This window comes from Homo sapiens, chromosome 11 (assembly GCF_000001405.40).
Source record: "Homo sapiens chromosome 11, GRCh38.p14 Primary Assembly".
Lineage (NCBI taxonomy): Eukaryota > Metazoa > Chordata > Mammalia > Primates > Hominidae > Homo > Homo sapiens.
In genome coordinates this window covers 111,899,901-111,926,934 of record NC_000011.10, presented here as the reverse complement: position 1 = coordinate 111,926,934, position 27,034 = coordinate 111,899,901, and the positions used below count along the sequence as shown (strand labels likewise).

The 27,034-nt window shown below is 44.1% G+C and overlaps 3 protein-coding genes and 1 long non-coding RNA gene across 9 annotated transcripts, besides 2 other annotated features; 1 reads left to right on the top strand and 3 right to left on the bottom strand.

Annotated features, from left to right (window-relative positions):
* Window positions 64-8,022, bottom strand: C11orf52 (chromosome 11 open reading frame 52). Its single transcript, NM_080659.3, has 4 exons — window positions 7,931-8,022; window positions 2,572-2,609; window positions 1,221-1,282; window positions 64-975 (listed from the first exon to the last, which is right to left on the bottom strand). Exons 1-4 carry the CDS (start codon window positions 7,960-7,962, stop codon window positions 736-738), a joined length of 372 nt encoding a protein of 123 aa, NP_542390.2. The 5' UTR covers window positions 7,963-8,022; the 3' UTR covers window positions 64-735.
* On the bottom strand, window positions 64-14,199 carry HSPB2-C11orf52 (HSPB2-C11orf52 readthrough (NMD candidate)). Its single transcript, NR_037651.1, has 5 exons — window positions 14,012-14,199; window positions 7,931-8,257; window positions 2,572-2,609; window positions 1,221-1,282; window positions 64-975 (listed from the first exon to the last, which is right to left on the bottom strand). It is a non-coding gene; the product is annotated as an HSPB2-C11orf52 readthrough (NMD candidate) (long non-coding RNA).
* Window positions 3,195-18,371, top strand: CRYAB (crystallin alpha B). 6 transcript variants are annotated; one of them, NM_001368245.1, is made up of 4 exons: window positions 3,195-3,232; window positions 15,013-15,411; window positions 16,486-16,608; window positions 17,968-18,371. In NM_001368245.1, exons 2-4 carry the CDS (start codon window positions 15,211-15,213, stop codon window positions 18,169-18,171), a joined length of 528 nt encoding a protein of 175 aa, NP_001355174.1. In that variant the 5' UTR covers window positions 3,195-3,232; window positions 15,013-15,210; the 3' UTR covers window positions 18,172-18,371. The 6 variants fall into 6 exon arrangements, with proteins under 6 accessions (NP_001355174.1, NP_001276736.1, NP_001876.1 ...); NM_001289807.1 differs by lacking the exon at window positions 3,195-3,232 and adding an exon at window positions 13,722-13,796 and having other exon boundaries at window positions 17,968-18,315; NM_001885.3 differs by lacking the exon at window positions 3,195-3,232 and adding an exon at window positions 13,774-13,830.
* Window positions 7,896-8,190: an enhancer, noted in NCBI's record as "tiled region #8432; HepG2 Activating DNase unmatched - State 1:Tss, and K562 Activating non-DNase unmatched - State 2:TssF". NCBI's record gives its function as "activates a minimal TATA promoter and a strong SV40 promoter by Sharpr-MPRA in HepG2 and K562 cells {active_cell/tissue: HepG2 | K562}" and the evidence as "EXISTENCE:reporter gene assay evidence [ECO:0000049][PMID:27701403]".
* Window positions 12,797-13,450: an enhancer, noted in NCBI's record as "H3K4me1 hESC enhancer chr11:111784209-111784862 (GRCh37/hg19 assembly coordinates)". NCBI's record gives its function as "activates a minimal SCP1, AML or CMV promoter by ChIP-STARR-seq in primed H9 embryonic stem cells {active_cell/tissue: H9 hESC(primed)}" and the evidence as "EXISTENCE:reporter gene assay evidence [ECO:0000049][PMID:30033119]".
* Window positions 12,842-14,201, bottom strand: HSPB2 (heat shock protein family B (small) member 2). The gene is made up of 2 exons (NM_001541.4): window positions 14,012-14,201; window positions 12,842-13,494 (listed from the first exon to the last, which is right to left on the bottom strand). Exons 1-2 carry the CDS (start codon window positions 14,103-14,105, stop codon window positions 13,040-13,042), a joined length of 549 nt encoding a protein of 182 aa, NP_001532.1. The 5' UTR covers window positions 14,106-14,201; the 3' UTR covers window positions 12,842-13,039.

The window sequence follows — 27,034 nt, the reverse complement described above, 5'->3', positions numbered from 1 at the left end:
TGGGCGGGATCCGCTGTCCTCGCAAGGAGCTTCGGGGCCCCGCCCCAGAAAACGCGCCAGGCATGTTTCTCAGGCCGTTTATTGATCCTAGCGGCCCCGCACCTGCGAGAGCCAACAGTCCCTCCGAGGGAAGTTTCCAGGCCTCACTGTGCTGTCGGTTATCACTGACTTGAGGTCCTGAAAGCGTTTCCTCCACGCCTCAGCCCCCTTCCCCCATTTGTCTGTTAAGGTCTGGAACCTGACTCAGCCACTGAGGAAATGGCCCAAGCCAGCCCTAGTGTCTGAATGTAAAAGCTCAGAATGCTTTTCCGGAGCACCTCCCCTTCAGCTTTGGAGTTTAAGGTGTGTGAAAAAGGATACCATTAATTAAAGTCCAACAAGATCAGCCCACGTGCTTATGGGCTAACTTTTTACCTGCTCTTTCTGCACTTTGCAAGAGCAGGAGCAACAATGGTGGGGTCGAAGACCTACCTCCCTGCACACTCCACCTAACCTCATGTGGATAGCTAAGTTTAGCTATCCACCCATAGCTAAACCAACTATTAACTCCAACCTAACAGTGGCAAGTAAGAGGCCAGGGGAGAAAATGGGACGCCCACAATTCCAGGGGCTTTGGAGTTCTTTAAGCTTAAAACGTGGACAACATCCCTGGGTTGCCACCCAATTCCCCAAAGCAGTAGGTTCTCCCCCACAGGTGTAGTGGTTAACGATGGACTGGGCCTTCCTCCCAAGCGCTCACACCAGGGTCCCGTTCTTGCTGTCATAGCGAGGTGTGGCCTGGGGGAAGCGAAGGGTCGCATACTCTGTAGCGTTTTCTAAATGCACGTGTTTCACTTCCCGGGCATGGGGACGGCTGCACACTTGAATGTCAGCATAATGTAAGTTGCTGTCTTCCGACATGAGGCCTGGACTCCTCTCTTGAGACCCTTGCTGCTGTAACACCCGTTCATACGTATGTCCTGTTGTTTCATGGCCCTGCGAGGAATGGATAGCATTAAGGGAGATTCATGGCTTGGTTTTGCCCCTCACCTCCAATGCAGGGGCAGGTCAACTGATGTCCCTTCGCTTTGCTCCTTTGAGCAAAGGACAGACAGAGGAGGACAGACAGAGCCAGCAAATTCTACAGGTGACTGAAATGTGTCTGTTGCAGTGCAAAAGAGCTGACTACTGGGATCCCATGTCCGAGCAGCCCCAGAGAGGGGACAGAGACCTGTCATTACCTTTGGGAGATTCTGCTGCAGCTGTTGTGGCTGCGGCTTCAGTGTCCGTCTTGTTTGGCTTCCTGAGGGGAAGAAATCCAACTTAAGTTTATTCTCTCTTCCCTGTCTCTACTGAGATTGCCTTCTTCAAATCACTATTAAACTATTAACGGCAGGCTTCTGTCTAATCCCCCTGCCTCCATTCTCACTTCTTTCATGTCTACTAGTGCTAAATCCAAACTCCTTAGCAGGGTTTACAATCTGGCCCTTTCACAATCTGGCCATAATATCTTCCATCCTCATTTTTCACTAGCCCCTAACAAGTTCAACAAGAGAACCCATTGTGTGCCAGGCTCTGTGCCATGTTCTGGGGGTAGAAGGATGAGTAAGCTGTTTCCTCTACCTCAGGGGGCTTACAGCCTGCTAGGGGAGACAAATAAATAAAAATAAGTAAACACACTTACAATGCAAGGTGGGAAGTGCTCAGCTATACCAATCAGCCACTTTGAATCAGGTCAGTCTCTTTTTTTTTTTTTCATGAGCTGATTTATCTGCCTAAAACACCTTCTCCCTCCTCTGCTGACTTGTGAACTTTGCTTTTATTTATTTATTTAGAGACAGAGTCTCACTCTTGCCTAGGCTGGAGTGCAGTGGCGCGATCTCGACTCACTGCAACCTCCATCTCCTGGGTTCAAGCAATTCTCGTGCCTTGGCCTCCCAAGTAGCTGGTACTACAGGCGCATACCACTATGCCCAGCTAGTTTTTCTCTTTTTAGTAGAGATGGGGTTTCACCATGTTGACCAGGCTGGTCCCAAACTCCTGATCTCAAGTGATCCGCCCCACCTTGGCCTCCCAAAGTGCTGGGATTACAGACGTGAGGCACTACGCCTGGCCCTTTGCTATTATTTCTTTGACATTTCGACATCAGTGTCTTCTCTCAATTCTCCCACAGCATGAGTACACATCTATTACAGCACCAGTGATGATATTACAACTGTTTGTTTATATGAATTTATCTCTTAAATTTGATTTTCAGCTCTTCCAGGGCTGAGATCATGTGTCTTTCCTCTTGTGCCTCTCTGCCTCCTTGGGACCCACACAGGTCCTGACGTAGAATGTAAGTGCTGAGTAAATATTTGCTAGATGAATGAAAGAATGAACAACCAACCCTGCCACTCTGAAATAATGGAAAGGATAAGATCCAGAGGTTCAGAACTAGTCTTGAATGCAGCAACCTGGATTCTCTTTGGTGTGCTGTCTCCCTTTATCCTTTCATTCCTTTTCTACCCTTCTGCCCTTTCCAAAGATTGGAGTTCTATTGTCTTCTCTAATTTGCCTCCCCCAGATTCCCTCCCCCAGCCCCAAAGTTACCTGTTTTCTTTTTCTTCTGGAAAGTTGATGGGCAGCTCCTGTAATAGGAAAAACAGATCACCCATGTGCAAGAGCCCTGGCCTCTGCCTTCCCTCCATCATCATTTGCTCTGTGGTCTCCTTAACATTCTGATGAGCTTCCCCTACCTCCCTCTAACAAAGATTCACCCTGAGCCAGGTTCAGTCCCAAAACATTAGTCAAGGGTACCACACCTCTCCCACATGGATGGTTCTGGAAGGTGGAGTAGTACAACTGACATAACCAGACCCAAAATACAGCCTCAGGCAACCAGGCACTACATGCCAGGGATGTATCTGGCTTGAGAGCTATTCTGGGATTGTCTAACAGGCTAATCCCAGCAGAGGGTGAGGGAAATCTGTCAAATGATGGAATATTCTTGGATCCAGAGACCCTCTTGCCTCTTCTTCAGTGCTTTTTTTTTTCCTGGGGTCTTTACCAATCTGGGACTTTTATTCTGGGAGTCATGGAAGTTGCCACAACCAGGGCTAACTAATTACAGCCCCTCAAGGCCCTTTCTTAACAAGTGACCTCCCTCCCTGCTTCCTTGTCCTTGTTTTTAATTAACAGAGAAAGTGAGAGATGTTTAACCTTTAACATCCTTTAGAGAACTTTGTCTACAGAACAGGGAGCACTGAATTTGGTGAGTGACTCAGCTATCCTGCCCTCACTGTAGGGCAGACCTCTTATATTTATTTCTGAGCCCCTGGGGTCCCCAATGGCGCCCGTGTGTCTACGTGATTGTTAACTGTTTGATGCCAGAGAGACAACACTGACTGAGGAAATAGGCTAAATAGTTTGGGGCTTACTCCGGATTCTTTTTCTTGCTTTCTTGCTAGTACATTTCCAACTCTTGCCAGAACCAACCCTGTTTGTCTGCCTGATCTCTCATCTCCTGGGAGGTTTCCTTCTTTGCTAATTTGAGAGGGCGAGAGAGAGAAGACTGACTTCTAAATCATGAGGACTACTGTGGGGAAAAAGTCAGGATTTTTCCACACATATTTGACAGAGGTTTCTGTTTTGATGTGATTTTTGGTTTTGCTACAGCTTGCTCAGTTGACAGCAGTTGAGTCTCCAGCCAAACTCTACAGGTGGTTCAGAAGAAAAACTACTCCTGTGTTTTTCTACTTCTTCTGCCACTTCAGCTCTTGCTTTATGTTACTGCTGCTCAGTCAGCCTTATCCTAAGAACGAGATAATCTTCTAATTCTTTGCCACTTGTTACTACTCTTTACCTACTTATTTTTATTTAAATGGATACAGAAAATATTAGTCCTAAAATACATAGACTAGGGCTATCCAGTGTTAGTGAACAGAGCCTGTTCTCAAGTTAGATATTGTGCAATGCCTGGACACAACCCAAATGGAGTGAGTATTCATTTAGATACACAGGCGATGGGATTTTATTTTTAGATTTAAGGAAACTAAGTGGGCATTCTTCTACAGTGGTAATAGAAATAAAAATCTGTGCAATCCTCCTAGAATGCAATTGGCAATAAGTATAAAAATCCTTAAACATAAATGTGTATACCCTCTGATGTAGCAATTCCATATCCTAAGAAATAATTATACATGTACAAATATGGATATTCATTATAACATTATTTAAATTGCAAAAAATAGGAAATACTCTGAAGGTCCATGATTTGGTAACTGACTAAAGAAATGGCATATGCAATTAATGGAAAATATGTAGCCACTTCATAAAGAATGTTGGAAGAACACCGAACATCATGGAAAATTTTACTTTTTATTAAGTTAGTAAAAAGGTATGTTTTGGAATAAAAACTGTGCACATTTAAAAAATATATGGAAATACACTAAAATGTTCCCATCATCTCTGGGTGCTTTATTTATGGTGCTTTTTATTTTCTGCTCGTTGCAGAAGTTAAATTTTCTGCAATGAATGATTATTACCTTTGTAATCAGAAACAATAACAATAAAGAATATTTTAAAATAAAAATATCTTCAATTGCCATAATATCTTTAAGCCTCTGGAGGTTTATTGAGATAACAAAAAATAGAGAACAAAGTTTTATTCAATCCTACTAGTATTTGAAGAGGAAAAAAAGATTTTGGTTAGACTATTTGGTATAGTGTCTCTAGAATGGGCTCTAGAGTCAGACTGATGAGGTCAGAATAGCTGTGAGAACTTCAGCAAATTTTTAACTTCTCTGGGCTTCTGTTTTCTTATTAATAAAATGAGGTATGATAGGCCAGGTGCGGTGGCTCACGCCTGTAATGCCAACACTTTGGGAAGCCAAGGTGAGTGGATCATTTGAGGTCAGGAGTTCAAGACCAGCCTGGCCAACAGGTGAAACCCCGTCTCTGCTAAAAATACAAAAATTAGCTGGGCGTGGTGGCACGCACCTGTAATGCCAGCTACTAGGGAGACTGAGGCATGAGAATCGCTTACACCTGGGAGGCTAAGGTTGCAGCGAGCCAAGATTGTGCCACTGCACTCCATACTGGGAGATAAAGCAAAACTCTGTTTCAAAAAAAAAAAATGAGTATGATAATATAATTCAGACCTCATGGGATTATTGTAAGGATTAAATAAAACAGGAAATGTAAAATACTTAGCATGGTTCCTAGCATATAATAAGCATGAGTAAAAGTTGACCACTAATGACTATCACCATCAGAGAACTAATCAGTAATGAAAAAAGAATACCAACACTTGGGAAGAAAGAGAATAAAAGAAGCTGTTACATCTCCTTCTCTAGAAGCTTTTCTGTGCTTCTAGATGTCCTATGTCTATAGGGCACCTCAGAGTTTAAAGGGTGCTTTATTTTTTCAATCCTGACATTCCAGGAAACACATATTTTTGTTCCCATTTTACAGACGGGTTAATGAAGGGCCTTTTTTACTAACTTAATAAAGAGTAAAATTTTCCATGATGTTAGGTGTTCTTCCAACATTCTTTATGAAGTGGCTACGTATTTCCCATTAATTGGATATGCCATGTATTTAGACAGTTACCAAATGTTGGACCTTCAGGGTATTTCTTACTCAACAAGGCAGGGACCAAATGTCCTTTTATTACTATGTCTTCTGTGTCTATCACTGTGCCTGTAGTACATGTTCAATAAACACTGTTTAATAAATGAATGGATAAATGAATGAGTAGTAGGGCAGGACTTGAATCCAATGTACTACTCCAAAACCTGTGTGTTTTCCAATGCACTTCACTTGTCTATCTAAATATAATGATGCTTTATTTATAACATGACATCTTCCAGATCTGCCCCAGGCATGGAAGGCAGTAGACAGAATAAAACCAGGACCAGGAATTTACGGCATGGCAGTGATGAAAATTCTGGGAAAGAATAGTAACAACCCCACAGATAATTTATTATGAGGTTTTCACATACGCTATATCCTTTGCTCTTCAAAATAAGCCTGTGATCTACACAATGTAGGATGTATTATCTACATTTTACATGTGAGGATGGATACAGAGAAATTAAGGGACTTATTACCTATGGTCACATAGTAAATAAGTGTGAAAGTCATATTCAGATATTCCATGGATATTCTTCTTTTTCCTACTTCTGCCCTTTTATTTTTATTTTCATTTTTGAGACAGGGTCTCATTCTGTCACCCACACTGGAGTGCAGTGGTGTGATCATGGTTCACTGCAGCCTCTACCCCCAGGGCTCAGGTGATCCTCCTGCCTCAGCCTCCCAAGTACCTGGGATTACAAGCACGCACCACCACGCCTAGCTAATTTTTAATTTTTTTGTAGAGATGGGGCCACCCTATGTTGCCCAGGCTGGTCTCAAACTCCTTTTCTTTTTTTTTTTCAAGACATAGTCTCGCTCTGTTGCCCAGTCTGGACTGCAGTGGCGCAATCTCAGCTCACTGCAACCTCTGTCTCCCAAGCTTAAGGGATTCTCGTGCCTTAGCTTCTCAAGTAGCTCAGATTACAGGCGTGTGCCACCATGCCTGGCTAATTTTTTTGTATTTTTAGTAGAGATGGTGTTTTGCCATGTTGGCCAGGCTGGTCTTGAACTCCTGGCCTCAAGTCATCTGCCTGCCTCAGCCTCCCAAAGTGCTAGGATTACAGGTGTGAGTCACTGCATCCGACCACTTCTGCCCTTTAATTTATTTTATTTTATTTTATTCTATTTTATTTTATTTTATTTTTGAGACGGAGTCTTGCTCTGTCACCCAGGGTGGAGTGCAGTGGTGCAATCTCGGCTCACTGCAAGCTCCGTCTCCTGGGTTCAAGGGATTCTCCTGACTCAGCCTCCCGAGTAGCTGGGACTACAGGCACCCACCACCACGCCCGGCTAATTTTTTGTATTTTCAGTAGAGATGGGGTTTCACCGTGTTAGCCAGGATGGTCTCGATCTCCTGACCTCGTGATCCACCCGCCTCGGCCTCCCAAAGTTCTGGGATTACAGGCGTGAGCCACCACGCCTGGCACTTCTGCCCTTTTAAATAAACATTGCTTCAAAGTTGACTTGCTTGATCTAAGAGGCAATATTATGCAGTGGTTCAAAAGGTGGCCTCTGAAGTCAGGTGGGCCTCAGTTGGAATCTTGGTTTACTTGCTTACCAGCCATGTGACCTTAGGCAAGTTAGTTAATTTCTCTGAGCCTCAGTTTCTCAGCTGACTGTAAAATAGGAGGAGGGGCAAAACCATTTACCTCATAAAGTATTGGAAAAATTAAATGAGACTGTAAAATGTCTGGCACATAGAAAGCTCTCAAGTGCTACAATTATTACTCTCATCCAGGAAGAAAGGGAAAGAAGGGGAAAGGGAGGAAGAGGGCACAGAAAAACAATGCCGGTTCAATATTCCTGCCCTGCTCTGGCCATTCCGCAGACAGCTAGCTTGGCTCTGTTTTTTTTTGTTGTTGTTGTTGTTGAGACAGTCTCGCTCTGTTGCCAGGCTGGAGTGCAGTGGCGCGATCTCGGCTCACTGCAACCTCCGCCTTCCGGATTCAAGCGATTCTCCTGCCTCAGCCTCCCGAGTAGCTGGGACTACAGGTGCGCGCCACCATGCCCAGCTAATTTTTGTATTTTCAGTAGAGACGGGGTTTCACCATGTTGGCTAGGATGGTCTCGATCTACTGACCTCGTGATCCGCCGGCCTCGGCCTCCCAAAGTGCTGGGAGTAGAGGCGTGAGCCACCGCGCCCAGCCACTTGGCTCTGTCTTCTAAGGCCTCCTGAAAGGAGGTGCTGCTCTGGTGTTGGAACAAGGAGGTACCAGGCAGAGGAAGGTGGCAGTGGGAGGCTGGCAGACAACTATCTCCAGGTCCTCTGATTTTCGGGGCCTCTACATCCACCAACAGAGATAGATGTTCCCCTTTGCCCTTCCAGCCTACTCACCAGCTTCCTCCGCAGCAGACCCGGTTTCCCATGGCGCTCTGTCTCCAAGGGAGCCCAGCTGTTTTTATGCATCAAGAGGCTTGTGCATTTCCGGGTTCCTGGTTGAGCTTTCCGCGGCAGCTCCCGGAGTCTGTGTCAGTGTCAGATTTCAACCTAGCAGGTTGGACTTTTGAAGCCACCTGCTGGAATGATTCCCAGGTGACTGTGTTCCCAGCCAAAGGGTAGAACAACACACGGGCTCCAGGTGAGAGCTATCTCAACTTCAGGATTTGAAGCGTCTTTTGATGAAGCCATGAACTTGAGCTTCAAGCTTCAATAAAAAGAAACCTGAGATAGAAAAGGGCTCTTGGTTTCCTTACGAAATGCTTCTCCATTACATCACTCTGTCTTTGAAATATATCCTCTATAATAGATGAGTGCCTAATGTAGTAGTTTGCTCAGCACCACTCAGGTTTAACTGAGTTTCACTTTCGAGGCAATTGGTACCAGTTTCTTATTATTTTTGTACAGAATCTGGGTTGGGATACTGGAGTCTCTTGGAAACTTAAGTTTGGGGAAATGGGTTCCTCATATATTCTCCCTTGCTATTTGAAATCGATGTGGGCAAATCACTTAACCTTTATAGGGCCTAAGTTTCTAGGGCTGTGAAATGAAAAAAACTGAATCTAATCCCCTTTCTGGTATAAAATCAGATGATTCTATGATCAGGATGGCCTCAGCACTTCTTAACCACTCATTTCCTTATCCACAGTTCAGAACTACTGATTCTCCACTTACCCCTCAACTCTGCGTCTCCTTCCAGTAACCCAAAGTTAGACTCACCCGCACTCACCAGTAGAAAATATGGGCTCTACGAGAATCTGTGAAACCCATCATTCTTGTGTTCAGTTCTCTCACCCCATTTTTAGTGTTTTCCTCGGATGCCTGGTTATTGTCCTTTAAGTGGATGTTCAGGGCCCACCACTCAGCTCTGCACTCCACAGAGAATACCCTGGACTTTGAACTCCTCCTCTTATGAAACATGGGTAAGAGTGACAATCTTACAGGATTGTGGTGAAAAATAAAGCTCTAGTGCAGGGCCTGGCACATGGGACACACTCAGTAAGAGTTAGGCATTGTTGTTATTATTACAAAGCATCTTATTTTCTTTCTTTCTTTTATTTTTAAAGACAGGGTCTCAATCTGTCACCCAGGCTGGAGTTGAGTGGCTAGCTCACTGCAACCTCAAACTCCTACGCTCAAAAGATTCTCCCCCCTCAGCCTCTCGAGTAGCTGGGACTACAGGCTCACACCACTGTGCCTAGCTAATTAAAAAAAAAAAAATCTTTTTAGAGACAAGGTCTTTTTTTTTTTTTTTAAATTAATGTGAGATGGGGGTCTTGTTATGTGGACCAGGCTGGTCTCGAACTCCTGGCCTCAAGCAATCCTCCCATCTCAGCCTCCCAAAGTGCTGGGGTTACAGGTGTGAGGCACCACACCTGGCCAAGATAGGGTCTTGCTATGTTGCCCCTGCTGGACTTGAACTTCTGGCCTGAAGTGACCCTCCCACCACGCCTGGTTCCCACATCTTACTTTCTTTTCTTGTGCCCCAATCATTGCACTATTTCATGGCCATGCTTCTTCCATGCAATCCATTCTGTACTCTACTCTACCATTAACTGTATCCTTTTCATCTTGTTACCCACTCCTTCTCCTCCCAGTTCAAAAGCCATTAATGATTTCCTATCACCTACAGGATACAGTTCAAACTGCTTAGCCTGGCACTCCAAGCCCTCCATAATCTGGTTCCTTTTTAGTCACCCCTTCTGTAATGTTTTAAAAAGCACCTAAGCAGCTGGGTTTACACAGTGGCTTGGCTCATGCCTGTAATCCCACTGCTTTGGGAGACTGAGGCAAGAGGATCGCTTGAGCCCAGGAGTTCAAGATCAACCTGGGCAATATAGCAACAACCCATCATCTCTACAAAGTATAAAAACTGAAAAATTAGCCAGGTGTGGTGATGTGTGCCTGTAGTCCCAGCTACTCAGAAGGCTGAGGTAGGAGGGTTGAGCAAGAAAGTTTGAGGGTGCAGTGAGCTGTGATCACACCACTTTACTCCAGCCTGGGTGACAGAGTGAGACTCTGTCTCTAAAAAAAAAAAGAAAAGAAAAAAAGGAAAAGAAAAGAAAAGGAAAGGAAATCACCTAAGGGATTTTTAGATGACCAGAAACTCCAAAGAAATCAATAGAGGAATAGACCATTGTGGTAGCCAGAAAACCTCATATGCCTAAAGCAGCATTAATAGAAGCCTGAAGTGATAAACAAGGATATTGATTATTCCACTGAAGTCTGTACCAGTCAATCCATGACTGGAATAATAATTTTAGGTCTAGATGTTGAATTTCAAGTTACGTTGTCAAAAGGCAGTATGTTCAAAATAAAGTTATCTGGGTAATATGTGATGTGGAAAGTGCTGTATGATATGGTTGAAAGAACAAGGCATGGCTGGGTGTGGTGGCTCACGCCTGTAACCCCAATGTGTTGGGAGGCCGAGGTGGGCAGATTGCTTGAGGCCAGAAGTTCAAGACTAGCCTGGACAACATGGCGAAACCCAGTCTCTACAAAAAATTAGCCAGGTGTTGTGGCGCATGCCTGTAGCCTCAGTTACTCAGGAGGTTGAGGTGGGAGGATTGCTTGAGCCCAGGAGGAGGAGGTTGCAGTGAGGGGAGATGACACCACTGTACACCCAGCCTCGGTGACAGAGAGAGACTTTGTCTTAAAAAAAAAAAAAAGAACTAGGCATGTTTAGCTGGGAAAGGGAAGCCTCAGGAAGACAGGATGGTTATCTTTAAATATCAGAAGGATTTTCAGTGAAAAAACCATTGTGTTTGTTTTCCAGAGAAGTTACTGAAATGCAGATTTTGATTCAACAAAAGGAGGAATTTATAACGGTTAAGTCAGTTAAGACCAAAAAGAAAATGGAAGGCCAGGTACAGAGGCTCACACCTGTAATCCCAGTACTGTGGCAGACCAAGGATAGAGGATTGCTTGAGTCCAGGAGTTCAAGACCAGCCTGGACAACAAGGCGAGACCTCATCTCCAGAAAAAGTAAAAAATTAGCCAGGCGTGGTGGCACACACCTGTAGTCCCAGCTACTCAGGAGGCTGAGGCAGGAGGATTGCTTGAGCAAGGGAGGTTGAGGCTGCAGTGAGCCATGATCATGCCACTGCACTCCATCCTGAGCAACAGAACAAGACCCTGTCTAAAAAAGAAAAGAAAGAACATGGAAACGACTACCGTGAGAAGTTCTAAGTTGTCTGTTATTCAGAATGTCCCCGAATAAGTTGATTAATAACTTTAAAAGCATTTGAATGGAGAGGGGATTTGGACTAAATCAGAAGTTTTCAAATTTCTTATAGCTAGGAAACCCTTTCCTTTAAATAAAGCTCAGTTACAAAACATATCAATGTGAAGCTATTTTGGTTGAAGTCTAAGTAGAATCCTTTTCTTATTATTTTTCTTCTCAACTAGATTCTGGAAAGTTGACAATAAAAGCTAATAGTTTTTATAATTTATATTTACAATGTATATCCCCCAAGGTGTATTACATGAGGTTTGATAAATATTTACTGAATGAATGAATGAACAGTTAAATATGTCAAATGTTATTTCTCTGGGGCATGCTTTCATTTTTAATAGACAGCAATCTTTTAACCAAAAGTCGAATTCCTCAAGTGAGTTCTGTTATCCTGGAGGTCCACAGATCCCTAAGGGGGGTATGTGAATGGGTCTTAAGAGTTGTGGGAACCTATTCAAATTGTATTGCCAAATTTGGGAGCATATGTATTTTTCTGGTAAGAGCAGCTATAGCTTTTGTCAGATTTTCAGAAGGGTCTATAACTCCCAAAAGTTAAGAAACAACCACTTAATTTAATTCAATTCAATTTAATTTTTTTGAGGCAGGGTCTCACTCTGTCACCCAGGCTGGAGTGCAGTGGCGCAATCTCAGCTCACTGCAGCTTCAACCTCCCTAGCTCATCCTCCCACCTCAGCCTCCCAAGTAGCTGGGACTACAGGCATGCACCACCATGCCTGGCTAATTTTTATTTTTTTGTAGAGACAAGGTTGCACTCTATTGCCCAGGCTGGTCTCTTACTCTTGGGCTCAAGTGATCCTCCTGCCTCGGCCTCCCAAAGTACTGGGATTACAGGTGTGAGCTGCTGCACCCAGCCAAGAAACAACTGCTTTAATGGAAGAATTGTAGGTATCTACCACAGCCTAATGAAATATGTATTTGGAGGCAGGAAGGTCTTTTGGACACTTCCCCCAAATCATGTAGCTGGATGTTCTCTTGATTGCAGAGAATAACTGAGGGGACAGACCTCAGGCTTTCCTGAATACACCGTACCCCCAGAGGATGGGAAGGTAATGGGGTTCCGTGATAATTGGAGAGGCTTTGTGTCTGTGCCCTGTGTATGCATACTCAGGCTCTCAAAATCAGTGACCATTTAAGTGGACAGACCTTAGTACATGAAAACAAAGTATTCACTCCAGGACTTTAGGCAACTCTCACCAGCCAAAAACCATTTTCCCAGCCCCTACCCAAAAAGGGCCAGACAGTCTGGAGACCCTTGTTTTTGTGTCTCTAATCACCAGCTCAGACAGTGCCCTCTGGGCTGTTTGGATGGCATATCCCTTTTCCCTCCCAGGATCACTCTCTCTTTTGTTGCATTGTGAGAAAATTATGGCTAGGAATTTGATCTGGAGCCAGAGTCAGCTTCCGGGTGTGATCTCAGCATCCAAGTGCGAGCTCAGGGTCCTATGACGTTGGGCACATCAAACTGAGGAGCTTTTTGTCTAGCTGGCTGTGACCTCCTCCCTCCCTCCCCATCCCAGCTTCCCGGCCACAGAATAGGGAGCAGTACAAACAAGGCCCTGAGATTTGGGTTTATTCAGCTCCACCCAAAACTAAACCAAGGCTATGACATGTCCCATGGGACCAAACCATACATTGTGGACCATGCACCTTTCCCTTCCCCCAAGGATGCTGCTACCTCTGGAGTGGTGGGCAGCTGCCCATATCACCTTGGGAGGTAGAGAGGGATTTGCTGGGTGCTGGGTCTGTGGCAATCAGGGCTCAACTATGGCTGCCTCCTCCTCTTCCTCTGGATCAGGAGGCGCAGGGAGCAGGGAGATGTAGACCTCATTGACCTCTGTGTCCAAATGTCGGCCACCCCGAGGTGCTTCCAGGTTTAAGATGCCATCATGGGAGAGAGCAGCTCGGACTCGCCAGGGGTCGACATCAGCAGGCAGGACATAGGTGCGGCAGAACTCTCGGGACACGAAGCCGTGGCGGTCCAGGCGCTGGGGGTGCCGGGCAGACACCTCCAGCAGGTTATCCACAGTCCTCACAGTCACCTCGTCTGGGGTAAAGTGGCTCACATCCAGAAATGCCTGGAACTTGCCCTCACTGAGCCTAAGCTCGGAGGCCCCTGCCCTGCTGCCCTCCCCAGCTGGGGCGGCCCGAGGCCGGACATAGTAGCCATGGTAGAGTGTGGGGGTCAGGATCTCTTCTGGCAGGAGGCCTAAAGGGCAGAGAGAAGGCAAGAGGCAGGATGAGGGAGGATGAGGCTGGCACAGGGGCGAAATGGGAAATCTGGAGAGGAGGGATTGGGAAGAGCAAGAGGGGAGTCAGGAGGAGTAGGGAACGGGAGGGAGGCCACACTGTAGCTAGGAGGAGAAGGCAGCTCGGAAGAGGGGAAAGAGAACGGAAAGGAAAGGGAGGAGGAGGAGGAGAAGGAGGAGGAGGGGGAGGAGGAGGAGGCACCAAACGGCCTGGGTGGATAGAAGGGGGACAAGGAGGCACACCCAGGCCGGCAAAGAGCAGGTATCAGCACTGCAAGCACCAAGTGTGTCTTGAGGTCAGCAGGAATGGGAAAGATCTCTGCTTGGAGGGGATGAGGGGTAGTCTGGGGTGGGGGGTGGCTGGTCCCAGGAGATCAGTTAAGCCCAGAGTGGGGTGGAGGCCAGCAACGTTGGGAGGTCAGCCCAGAATTTCAGGGGGTGGGGGTGGGGGGCAAGGGGGTGGTGTCTGTGCCATACCTTCTCCGAAGCGCTGCTCACCCAGGCGGCTCGGGTTGGCAAATTCGTACTCGGCGGTGGCCGGGTGGGCATGTGGCACTGAGCGGCCCGACATGGCTGCAGATGCAGCAGAAGCCCTGGTCCGAGGTGCAGCCCCAACAGGCGCAGCGCGACCCCTCCAGCTGCCCGGAGAGCCAGGGCTCGATAGGAGGTGGGGGCGGGGTCGACACCACCCAAAATAGTGCCGAGCCTCTTGGGGGGGGAGGGGCTGGGAGTGGGGGCCCTGAGTGAGAGCAACGAGGGTGTGACCAGCGCCGCCCGGACCCCTAGTCCCCTCCCCCGCACACTCTTCAGCTGTCGCAGGGGGCCTGAGAGGACAGCTGAGGGTCCTGGCTGGGAACGAGCTGGGGAGGGGGAGCTGGTGGTGCCTGGGGCATGAAGAGGCCTCGCTGAGACCCTCACAAACGGTTTGCACGTTTCCACACCTCATTTTCTCCTCTTCGGTGGCAGGCACTGTGCACCCAATTCCTAAAGCACTCCTGGATTTAATGTTCTGAGAGCCACATAGAACGAAAGATGCAAGAAATCTGTTTGCTCTTTTTTCAGGGGGTGGGGTCTTTCTGCCCAGATGTGGGATCCTCTCCTAAACCCAGGTCAACCCAGGGCACGAGGCAGATGGCTGGTGCTGACATGTTGACCATCACTGCTCTCTTCCAAGGACTCACAAAGAGTTAATGTCCCTGGGGCTCAGCCTAGGAAGATTCCAGTCCCTGCCCAGGCCCAAGATAGTTGCTGGCCTGATTCCCCTGGCATTCAGGACTGGAAAGGAGGAGGAGGGGCACACTACGCCGGCTCCCATCCTCCCCCCACCCCGCGTGCCTGCTTGGGATTCCTGACTCTGTACCAGCTTCAGAGAACAGGGGTGGGGGTGGGTGCCATTGGGTGTGGACAGAAAGCTAGTGAAACAAGACCATGACAAGTCACTGGCCGGCTCAGACGTGTTTGTGTCTCTCTTTTCTTAGCTCAGTGAGTACTGGGTATGTGTCACATTGCCAAATCCCGGATCACAAGTCTCCATGAACTGCTGGTGAGCTAGGATAATAAAACCCCTGACATCACCATTCCAGAAGCTTCACAAGACTGCATATATAAGGGGCTGGCTGTAGCTGCAGCTGAAGGAGCTGACCAGCCAGCTGACCCCTCACACTCACCTAGCCACCATGGACATCGCCATCCACCACCCCTGGATCCGCCGCCCCTTCTTTCCTTTCCACTCCCCCAGCCGCCTCTTTGACCAGTTCTTCGGAGAGCACCTGTTGGAGTCTGATCTTTTCCCGACGTCTACTTCCCTGAGTCCCTTCTACCTTCGGCCACCCTCCTTCCTGCGGGCACCCAGCTGGTTTGACACTGGACTCTCAGAGGTGAGTCTCCCCACAGCTAGGACGGGAGAGTCCTTACTGGAACCTCCTGGAAACTTCTCCATCCATTTTCCTTTCCTACCCTGCCTAAACCATTTTAGGCACATGTGTGTCCAAATGTGAAGAAAAATGAGGAGGTTGCTAGTGCCTTCCTCCCCCATCACCTGTTTCTATTTGATAGTCCTCTGTATCCCATTTATTACATTTTTTCATGCACTGTCAAGTTTATCCTCCGTCCCCTAACTTCTCTACAGGATACCCCTTTCTGGTTTGGTTCATGACAATCTGCAGGGAAAGAGCTGCCTTCAAACTCCTTTGCTTATCTCTTCCAACACCTTGGACTCTTGACCGATTTTACCATCTCAGGTTTCAGAGCCAGGAGAGAGCCCTGCCTCATCCTGAGCTGTTCATCCCCATGGGTATTTTCTGCCTTTCTATTCCCTCTTCTATGATTTTCTGGGTTTCTCAGGGCTACGACAGGGCGCTGGCCTGGGTCCAATCAAGCCCTACGAGGAAACAATATAGGGACGCCCATTTGTCCTAAGAGGGTGGAAGAACAGGGTGAACAAATAAGGTTGACAGAGCTGTCACAGATAACACTCTGGTTTAAAAATATTCAAGTGTGAGTAAACAGGAGCTGAGTGGGCAAGGGCTTTGGAAGGACAAGCAGGACCAGCAGAACATTCCAGATTGGGTGGGTGGAAAACTGGCAAAGAGACCTGAGCCAGAAGAAGAGGCCTTTGTCTCACAGACAAACCACAAAGCCAGGCATTGGAGTCAGAGAGGCAGCAGATGCCAGGCTTGCACCCATCCTTGCGACTGGTCCCCTGGGTGATCTGTCTTCTTCTCTGTCCCTGTAAATAAAGTTTGGGTCTGATCACCATGAGCCTTAGGTATCACTGTGGTGGCTCCCTGAAGCAGACAGCTATGTTTATTTAAAAAGGAGATTTTTTAAGCAGAGAAGAGAAGGATGAATTACCCGGACAGAAAGCAGCTCTGCAGAATAAGACAGCACCTGTGTAATCAGTATTTTTGCCCTCTTTCTCCCATCCCATTCCCTTACCTTGCTATTTCTAGATGCGCCTGGAGAAGGACAGGTTCTCTGTCAACCTGGATGTGAAGCACTTCTCCCCAGAGGAACTCAAAGTTAAGGTGTTGGGAGATGTGATTGAGGTGCATGGAAAACATGAAGAGCGCCAGGTATGTAGCTTGTTTTTTTGTTTTCTGCTCATTCATTCAGTGCATACTGTAATAGTCCAGGTAGTGCTATCAGCTTTGGAGGCTGGCTACATTCCAGTCCCAAGCCATAACAGTCGGGATCAGGGGTTACAAATCAATGTCTAGAAGACTAAGTTAGGATAGACATATTGCTGTTGTTACTATTATGGCCAGAGATGTGGCCTTTGATTTGATCGCCTTAGATGGGATGATGGGATGCTGATGCCCCATTTAAGCCAGTGGTTCTGAATCTGGGCCACATTAGAATCACCAGGGGAACTTTCAAAAAACCTAATGCTCGGGCATACTCCAGACCAATTAGCATATGTGCTGCCGAAGCGAGCACTACTCCAGACCAATTAAATCAGCATTTTTAAGGGTGGGACCCAGGCATCAGCAATTTTTAAGGTAATTCTAATCTACAGTCAAGGTTGAGAACCACTGATTAGGTATAGGGCTGTCAGACACCTAGTTGCTTTGCATAATTACATTAACTACAGGTACCCTAAAAGCACTTGAGTTGTGACTTCTCTTTTAGCTGTGCAAGAATCCGTGTCTCTTCTTTAGCCCATCTTAATGCTGAACTACTTGGTTTGTCTAAATTTCAGAGCTGTGCTCAGTCTTTAATCCCCTACAGCCCATGTGGTAATCAGTTAACGAGAGCCTGTTTGGCTACATGCTTGAGAGTCAGCAGGCATACGGGTTAAGGTCATCTACTCTTTGGGGGAGTTCTGACAAATGGAACAGCTTGTTATGACTTTATAAGAGGGCTTTAAAATTGCTTCTCACCATTTAACGATAGCTCAGAACCTGTGCGTCAACCAGTACAGTTTGTCCTCAGTAATGTCCTCAGGCTGTTTCAATTTTGCTTATATGATTTAGGTTTGGGTCATAGTCTCCTTGGATGGAGTCATTTTTTTTTTTTTTTAATTTCAGCAGCAGTCCTATTGTTCTGGAACCTTCTGGGACATTCCTGAAGAGTCAGGACAATTTCAGGGCTTCCTCAGGGACTCAGATTCTAAATGAGATTCCAAATTCTGTAGGCCCAGCCAACATTGATCTAAACCTTTGGGAAATACCCCTAAACATATCTATGCCTCAGGGTTTGAAAAACAATGAAGTGTTGGACTGTTTCAGACTTCTCAGATTCTCACTGGTAGGAGTGACTACCTAGGCAATTTCATCTTAGCTGCAACCCTGAAACGAAGCTCTATTTATTTTTCCTATGTTGTCATGGCATTTGGTCTCACCTAAGGGGAAATCAGGATGCCTGAGTTCTGGGCAGGTGATAATAGTTCCTGTTCTTATCTCTCTGCCTCTTTCCTCATTCTTTTGGGTTAGGATGAACATGGTTTCATCTCCAGGGAGTTCCACAGGAAATACCGGATCCCAGCTGATGTAGACCCTCTCACCATTACTTCATCCCTGTCATCTGATGGGGTCCTCACTGTGAATGGACCAAGGAAACAGGTCTCTGGCCCTGAGCGCACCATTCCCATCACCCGTGAAGAGAAGCCTGCTGTCACCGCAGCCCCCAAGAAATAGATGCCCTTTCTTGAATTGCATTTTTTAAAACAAGAAAGTTTCCCCACCAGTGAATGAAAGTCTTGTGACTAGTGCTGAAGCTTATTAATGCTAAGGGCAGGCCCAAATTATCAAGCTAATAAAATATCATTCAGCAACAGATAACTGTCTTGTGTTTGAATATTCCACACACTTTTAAATAAATATACAGATACCACAGATCTATTTATGATTGCATTATGATTTAGAGGGCTCCAAGGATTTTAGAGTCAGAATGACTGACTTCACCATTTACTACTGGTATAAATGTAGGCAAGTTGCTTAACCTTTCTGGTCTTCAGGTTTTCCATTTATAACATGGGTTACTGAGTTGTACAGAGGAATTATAGGAAGTAAATTAAGGAGAAGAAGCAGGAAAAGCCGCTGGCAGAGTTCAAGGAATATTAGTTACTCTCTCTCTGCCCTCTTTGATTTTAGCTCTCAGTTTAAAGGACTGGAACACATCTGAATGAACTCTGGATAACGCTACATAAAAGGCCTTACTGCATCTCTAAAATTAATTACATCACCAGGGAAGACATGGTGACCCTAATACTGTTTGACATTTTCCTATTGATAAGCATTGCCTTAAGCTGATTTACAAGGGCAATAAACAGGACTTGGGTGATTATCACCTAACAAGCTCTGAGGTATAGGCTAAATCAGTGGCCCCCAACCTTTTTGGCACCAGGGACTGGTTTTGTGGAAGACAATTTTTCCATGGCCCCGGGGGAGCAGGAGATGGTTTCAGGATGATTCAAGCATTAGATTCTCATAAGGAGTACATAACCTAGATCTCTCACATGTGCAGTTCACAATAGGATTCATGCTCATATGAAAATCTAATGCCACCACTGATGTGACAGGAGGTGGAGTTCAGCTTCACTCACCTCCTACTGTGCAGCCTGGTTCCTAATAGGCCACGGGCCAGTACCAGTCCATGGCCTGGGGGTTGGGGACCCCTGGTCTAAATTATCTAGCAAACACCTACTAACCTAAGGCCAGGGAATATCCAATTCAATGTCCTACCACGTAATAGTTAAGTTTTAGAATTACAACTAATAGCCAATCAATAAGTGGTTCTATTATTTAGCTTAAAGACATACCACTGTACAGAAAAATCCTCCCCAAAACAAAAAACAACCCTCCATTTCATTTCTGTGGGTCTGGACAAAACTTCTGATTCACTTGATAAACAGCACTGCTGTAGGTGATCTGGTATAAATGTTTATTGACAACTCTTATTTTTTCTTTAGCAACTTCTAGCTAATTTCTGATTTCATGCAAAATCAGAAGTCAGTCAGTTTGGGGACTGACCAGCGTTTTGAAATATTCTACGTGAAACAATTGCCTAAATTTTTTTATGACATAGAGGGAAACAACACACACTGGAGCCTATCGGAGGATGGAAGGTGAGAGAAGGGTGAGAATCAGGAAAAATACCTAATGGTTACTAGGCTTAATACCTGAGTTATGAAATAGTCTGTATAACAAACCCCTATGACATGCATTTACCTATGTAAGAAAATAAAGGAAAAAAAAGATCACAATGAGAATCACTGAGCCCCTATTAGAATGACTAAAATGAAAAATTGACTATACCAACTAAAACAAAAAATATAAATAAATAAATTTAAAACTTAATAAAAAAATTCATGATGCAGGGGTGTGGAGCTAGGACAATATAAATTGCAAATCTATACCGGTTCAAAAATGCTTTCTCTTAAAAAACAACTTCCTAATAGTCTGAAATACTGTGATCTAGCCAGAAGTTTACAGCCAATTTTTGTGGCTGTGTAGCAGACACTGTTGGTTGCCTAACCAACAGCTATTTACCACCTTCAGCCTTGCCAACAGTATCCCAGATTGGTTTAGGTATACACCATGTTCTTCCTAGCCATGTGCTTCAGAGAAGTGAACTCAAGCTCCAGCCATAGGAGGTCTATCTTGATTAGTCCAAATCAAGCAGGGAAATTCTCTTCTTGATTTTCAAGATTATTCTTGAAAGGGCTATGACTCAATTATGGCAAATGAGACAGGAGGGAAGTCTGTTGGAGATGCTTCTAGAAAAAGTTTCTAAACTAAGAAAAGATTTCAGAAAGATTCAGAGAGAGAGAGAGAGAGATTTTTTTTTTCCTTGCTCTGGATGTTGGAGCACGAGAATGTGATGCCTGGATTACTGTAGCCATTTTGAAAACGTGAAGCGGGCATCCATGATATGCTGAGCACAAAGACAATAATCTCAGGTCCTTAATGGGTCAATGAACTGCTGAATTAGCCAACTCTAGAGTTTCCCTACTTCAGGCTGTCTGATTATGTCTTGTTTTTGTTAATAATCTGTTTTGACGTGGGTTTTCTGTTACTAGTAGGCAAAAATATCTAACATTATCAAGGCTGAATTAGATAGTGTAAAATAACTGAATGCCTGGAAGCCATGTGTCAATTTTAATCATTTTAGTTAATTACTAGTATATTTCCCAAGCAATTATGGACTTGGTTTTAAATAAATCACAACTTCGACTATTATATAATGATATTTGTTTCAAAAATGTGCAGGGCCACTTTTTTTGTTTATTGTCACCATAAGTGCCTAAGTTAGACTGGTTCTTTATTGTTATTCTTTCCTAGATCACACCCTTTGCTGTGGCTATTCACTGCTACGATATTAGTATAGGACTATTCTAGTACAGTATATTTGAGAGGTTTTTTTTTTTAGCTTTATAGCTAACTCATCCACAATTCTACTTCATTCCCTATATCTGAATTATACCAGAAGTTTACTGAGACAATTCTAATTAGTATTTGTTTTGTCTTTTAATGTTAGCTAACATTTATTGAGCACTGTATTAGTCCATTCTCACATTGCTATAAAGAACTGGCTGAGACTGGGTAATTTATAAAAAAAGAGGTTTAATCATTTCACAGTTCCACAGGAAGCATGGCTGGGGGGGCCTCAGGAAACTTACAATCATGGTGGGAAGGCAAAGGGGAAGCAGGCACATCTTACATGGCTGGAGCAGGAAGAAGAGAGACCGAAGGGGGAAGTGCTACACACTTTTAAACAACCAGGTCTCATGAGAACTCGACTCACTATCATGAGAAAAGCTATGAAGTCCACTCCCATGATCCAGTCACCTCCCACCAGGCCCCTCTGCCAACATTGAGGATTACAATTTGGCATGAGACTTAGGTGGGGACACAGAGCCAAGCCATATCAAGCACTTACTGTGTGGTAGGCACTGTGCTAAGTGCTTTAACCTTTTTAAAGCAATCATTTTTTAAAGAAGAATTCTGGGGAATGTGTGTATAATATATATATGTTATTTCAGTAAGATGTAATACTTAGAAAATGAGATGGTTATCTTTGCCTAATGCTTTTGGAATGATACATATTTTTATGCTTCGAAAAATTCTATGCTACTTTTTACTTCACATTTTTATTTTGAAGATTGCACTGGGTCCGATTGTTGTTCTGAAGATTTATAATTGCTGTTCATTCAATGATTATTTGAGTGCCTTCTATGTGCTAGCTACAAAAATAAGACATGTTTTCTTAAGGAATTAAGAATTGAGTGGAAGAGCAGGCAAGTAAAAAGATAATTCCGAGATACCTTTTTAAGATCCTAAGATGTCCATTCAAAATGTCTGCTATGGGGACCCTGAAGGGAAATACCTATTCTGGACACAGAAGGAGTCCTGGAGACAGTTACCCTGGATGAATTTTGGTTGGTTGGTTGGTTTTTGTGTTGTTGTTGTTGTTTGCAGTGGCATGATGTATTAGTCCGTTTTTATGCTACGGATAAAGACATACCTGAGGCTGGGTAATTTATAAACAAAAAGAGGTTTAATGGACTCACAATTCCACGTGTTTGGGGAGGCCTCACAGTCATGGCAGAGGGTGAAAGGCACATCTTACATGGTGGCAGACAAGAGAGAAATGAGAACCAAGTGAAAAGGGTCTCCCCTTATAAAACCATCAAATCTTGTGAGACTTATTCACTACCAAAGAACCGTATGGGGGAAACTTCCCCCATGATTCAATTATCTCCCACCAGGTCCCTCCCACAACACATGGGAATTATGGGAGCTACAATTCAAGATGAGATTTGGGTGGGGACACAGCCAAACAATATTACATGATTACAGCTCATGGCAGCTTCAACCTCCTGGGCTCAAGCCACCTTCCTGCCTCAGCTTCCCAAGTAGCTGGGACTACAGGCCTGAGCCACCATGCTGGGCTTTTTTTTTTTTTAGAGACAAGGTCTCACTATGTTGCCCAGGCTGTTCTTGAACTCCTGGGCTCAAGGAAGCCTCCTGCGTTGGCCTCCCAAAGTGCTGGATTTATAGGCATGAGCCACCACATCTGACCTCCTGACTGAATTTTTGTTAATTAAATATTTTTTTTTTTTAGACAAAGTCTGACTTTGTCGTCCAGGCTGAAATGCAGTGACATGATCACAACTCACTGCAGCCTTGACCTTCCAGGCTTAAGTGCTTCTCCCACCTCAGCCTTCTGAGTAGCTGAGACTGCAGATGCATACCACCACACCCAGCTAATTTTTATATTTTTTGTACAGATGGGGTTTCACCATGTTGCCCAGACTGGTCTTGAATTCCTGAGCTCAAGCAATATCCCTGCCTTGGCCCTTCAAAGTGCTGAGATTATAGGTATGAGCCACCACACTTGGCCTGCTGACCGAATTTTTAAAACAGCTTCTTTGAGACATCATTCATGTAATATATAATTCACCCAAACTACAATTTGATGGCTTTAGAATATTACAAAGTTGTACATCCATCACAATCAATTTTGGAACATTTCGTTAGCCCAAGAAGATTCCTTACACTCCTTTGCCATTACCCTCCCATGCTTGCCCCTCTGCCCTAGGCAACCACTTATCTATTTTCCTTCTTTATTGATTTGCCCATTTTGGACATTTCCTATAAATAGAATCATACAATATCTGGCCCTTTGTGACTAGCTTCTTTTGCTTAGCAGAATCAAGAGTCATCCATGTCATTGCATGTATCAGTACTTCATTCTTTTTGTTGCCAAATAATATTTCATTGCAGAAGCATACCACATTTTATTTATTCATTCATCAGTTGATGGATATTTGAGTTTCCACATTTTGGCTATTATGAATATTGCTGCTATGAACATGTATGCACAGGTTTTTATTTTATTTATTTATTTATTTTTTGAGATAGAGTCCCGCTCTGTCACCCTGGCTCAAGTGCAGTGGCGCGATCTCAGCTCACTGCAACCTCTGCCTCCCAGGTTCAAGCAATTCTCCTGCCTCAGCCTCCTGAGTAGCTGGGATTACAGGTGCACACCACCATGCCCAGCTAATTTTTGTATTTTTAGTAGAGACTGGGTTTCACCATGTTGGTCAGGGTGGTCTCGAACTCCTGACCTCAGATGATCCACCCGCCTTGCCCTTCCAAAGTGTTGGGATTACAGGCATGAGCCACTGCACCCAGCCCCGGTTTTTATTTTTAAATACCTGTTTCCAGTTCTCTTGGTTATATGCCTAGGGGTATAATTGCTGGGTCACATAATAATTCTATGTTTAACTTTTTGAGGAATGCCAACTATTTTCCACAGTGGCTGCACCATTTTACATTCCCAGTAGCAGTGTATGAATATTCCAGTTTTCCATATTCTCACCAACACTTGTTATTATCTTTTTTATTTTAGCCATCCTTGTGGGTGTCTGACTGAATTTGTAATGGTATATAGTACTTAGCAAGATACAGAAAGAAGGAAAATAGACCTAGGAAGAGAGAACAGCATGAAGTGCCTGGGTATTTAGGTTTAGTTGGAGCACTGGATGTATCAGAAAGAGTGTGAGAAATGAGGCAAGAGGGTTGGAAAGTGGCTCCGCTAAGGAGTTTGGAATGCATTTTGAAGATCATAGAAGCCAATAAAGGAATTTAGCCAAGAGAGTGGCACGATCAACTTTGCATTTTAAACTCACTCTAGGAGAAACATAGCAATTGATAAGTAGGAAGCAAAATGGGGAACGGAGACATCAACCAAAAAAGTGTTGCAGCAGACTAGGTGAGAAATAATGGAACACTGGAATATGACAAAGGCAATAAAGATGTGGAAAAGGAGGACGTATCAAGAGATAATAGGGAAACAGAATTTATAGGGCTTGTGTCTATTTGGATAAGGAGGATGAGAAAGGGGACACCAAAATAATTCTCTGGTTTCTGGTTTTGACAATTGTGTGAACTTATTATACAATATATAGTTTTAAAAATAAGAATGGTTAAAAAGAGCTATGAAATTCATCAAGATACAGAATATACCAGGGGGAAAATTTTTTTGAAATGAAAGATTATGAATGCAGTTTAGATATGTTGAGTTCGTGAGGTCTTCGGGAATTCAAATGGAGATATTCAATAAATAGTTGGATATTTATATCCACTGTTCTGAACACATATCTGGGATAGAAGTGTAGATTTAAAATTTGGAAGCATATAGATAGGAGTTAAAGGTATAGGAGTGGATAGTACTACCTAGGGTTAGCAAAAAAAGGAGCAAAAGGGCCAGCCACAGAATCACTGAAAAGGCAAACTTAAGGTATTGGCAGAGAAAAATGAGCTCATAAAAGAGACCTAGTAATGATCAGAGAAGTGAGGGAAAAACATGTTTAGCACAATGTCATAGAAACCAAGGGAATAAGATTTCAAGAAGGAAAAAGTGGGTTGTCAAGTGGATTACCAAATGCAGAATATAAAAGTTAAATAACATGTGAGCTGAAGTATCCATTAGATCTGGTAAAATTTTCACTGTCATAGAAACACTTGTAGGAAAGTGGTGGGTCAAAGAGGAAATGGGGGACAGACTTCTTGACAAGATAGAGCAGTATGCTCATATTTGATGCAGTCCCTCTACTGTAAACACATAGCAATGGTAGAATTTTTAAAGTAGAAAAGATAAATGACAATATGGACAAATTAAATTACAAAATATTTAAATAAATAAAATTTAGGAGGTTGGGCGTTTTAGACTCTAGTTAGAAGAAGACAGTGGAAGCTGATGAGTTCGACTCCTACAGGGTAATGAGACTAATAATTCTCAATCTAAGACAGAAGAATAAGACATATGAAGCAATTGGCTCATTATTTAATGCCAGTGGCTGTGGTGGGATTTTCCCACTCGTGAAAGAAAGGCAGAAAAATCCTGTCCATCTGCCTTCTGGATTATAGTTGAATAGAAGCTGGGCTTAGTGAGGTGGAAAGACCAAGACATAGCCTCATGATTCAGAATTTATATATGATATCTTTTTTTTTTTTTTTTTTGAGACAGAGTCTTGCTCAGTAGCCCAGGCTGGAGTGCAGTGGTGTGATCTCGGCTCACTGCAACGTCCACCTCCCGGGTTCAAGCAATTCTTCTGCCTCAGCCTCCTAGTAGCTGGGATTACAGGAACCCTTCACCATACCCGGCTAATTTTTTAAAATTCTTAGTAGAAATGGTGTTTCATCATGTTGGCCAGGCTGGTCTTGAACCCCTGACCTCAAATGATTCACCCACCTCAGCCTCCCAAAGTGCTGGGATTATAGGCGTGAGCCACTGTGTCCGGCCTATATATGATATCTTGCAGTTCAGTGATAGCACCCAATATGACAGCAGGATGGTAGCCCCACTCATCATTATAAAATCCTATTTAGAACTGGGAAGGAGATGTAAGAAGTGCGATGAAGGCAACTGCAAAACCACTAGAGAGTAAGGAGTGGTGGGCATAGAAGCAGAGAAATAAAGAAGGAAAAGCAAACTGAGAATCTATTGAAAATCAAAATTCCAAACACATGAAGAAATCTCGTAGTAAGAAAGATAGGCAACAATAAAATCAACAATAAGAAAAATGAAGAACCTTAGAACCCACCCATTCTTTTACTTTAAGAAAAAGACAAGTAATTGTTGCAGAGGTATTTTCCATTCCTATATTTTGCAGCTGCCTTTTTGTAAGAAGCACTTTTTCCAAATTAAAAAAATTAAATAAAAATTAAAAAATAAAAATGAGGGACTGGGCGCAGTGGCTCACACTTGTAATCCCAGCACTTTGGGAGGCTAGCATGGGCAGATCACCTGAGGTGAGGAATTCAAGACCAGCCTTGCCAACATGGTGACATACTATCCCTACTAAAAATACAAATATTAGCCCAGCGTGGTGGCGCACGTCTGTAGTCCCAGCTACTCGGGAGGCTGAGGCAAAAGAATCACTTGAACCTGGGAGGCAGACATTGCAGCGAGTTAAGATTGCGCCAGGGCACTCCAGCCTGGGCAACAGAGTGACACTCTGTCTCAAAAAAAAAAAAAAAAAGTTGAGGGGGGCATAATAATTGTATTTAGAAAGGGCAAGAAATATTACATTAAAACAAGCAGAATTTTAAAAGTGGATGGACATGAAAAAGACCCATTTAGATGTATTAGAAACTAGTTGATGTTATGAATGCTATAAGGAACAAAGTTACACATTTAGAAATTGAAAGAAAGCTGAGGAATTCACTCAGAATACAGCAAATTGGGGGAAAAGATTTTAAAAAATAAGAACAGTTAGGATATACGGAGGAGAAAATGAGAAACCAATATGTATCCAAACAGGTGCTTCTAAGAATTAATAGAGAAAATGATAAAGCATTACTTGAAGAGATTTTTCAGAATTGAAGATGTGGGTCTTCAGATATTGGGCAGGATAAATAATACTAAATATACACCTAAATATATGACTGTGAAAATCCAGAACAATAAGGATGAGAAAAATCTTAAAAGATATGAGGACAAAAAGATGTGTTAATTACAAATGAGTTACGATTAGATTGACAGCAGACT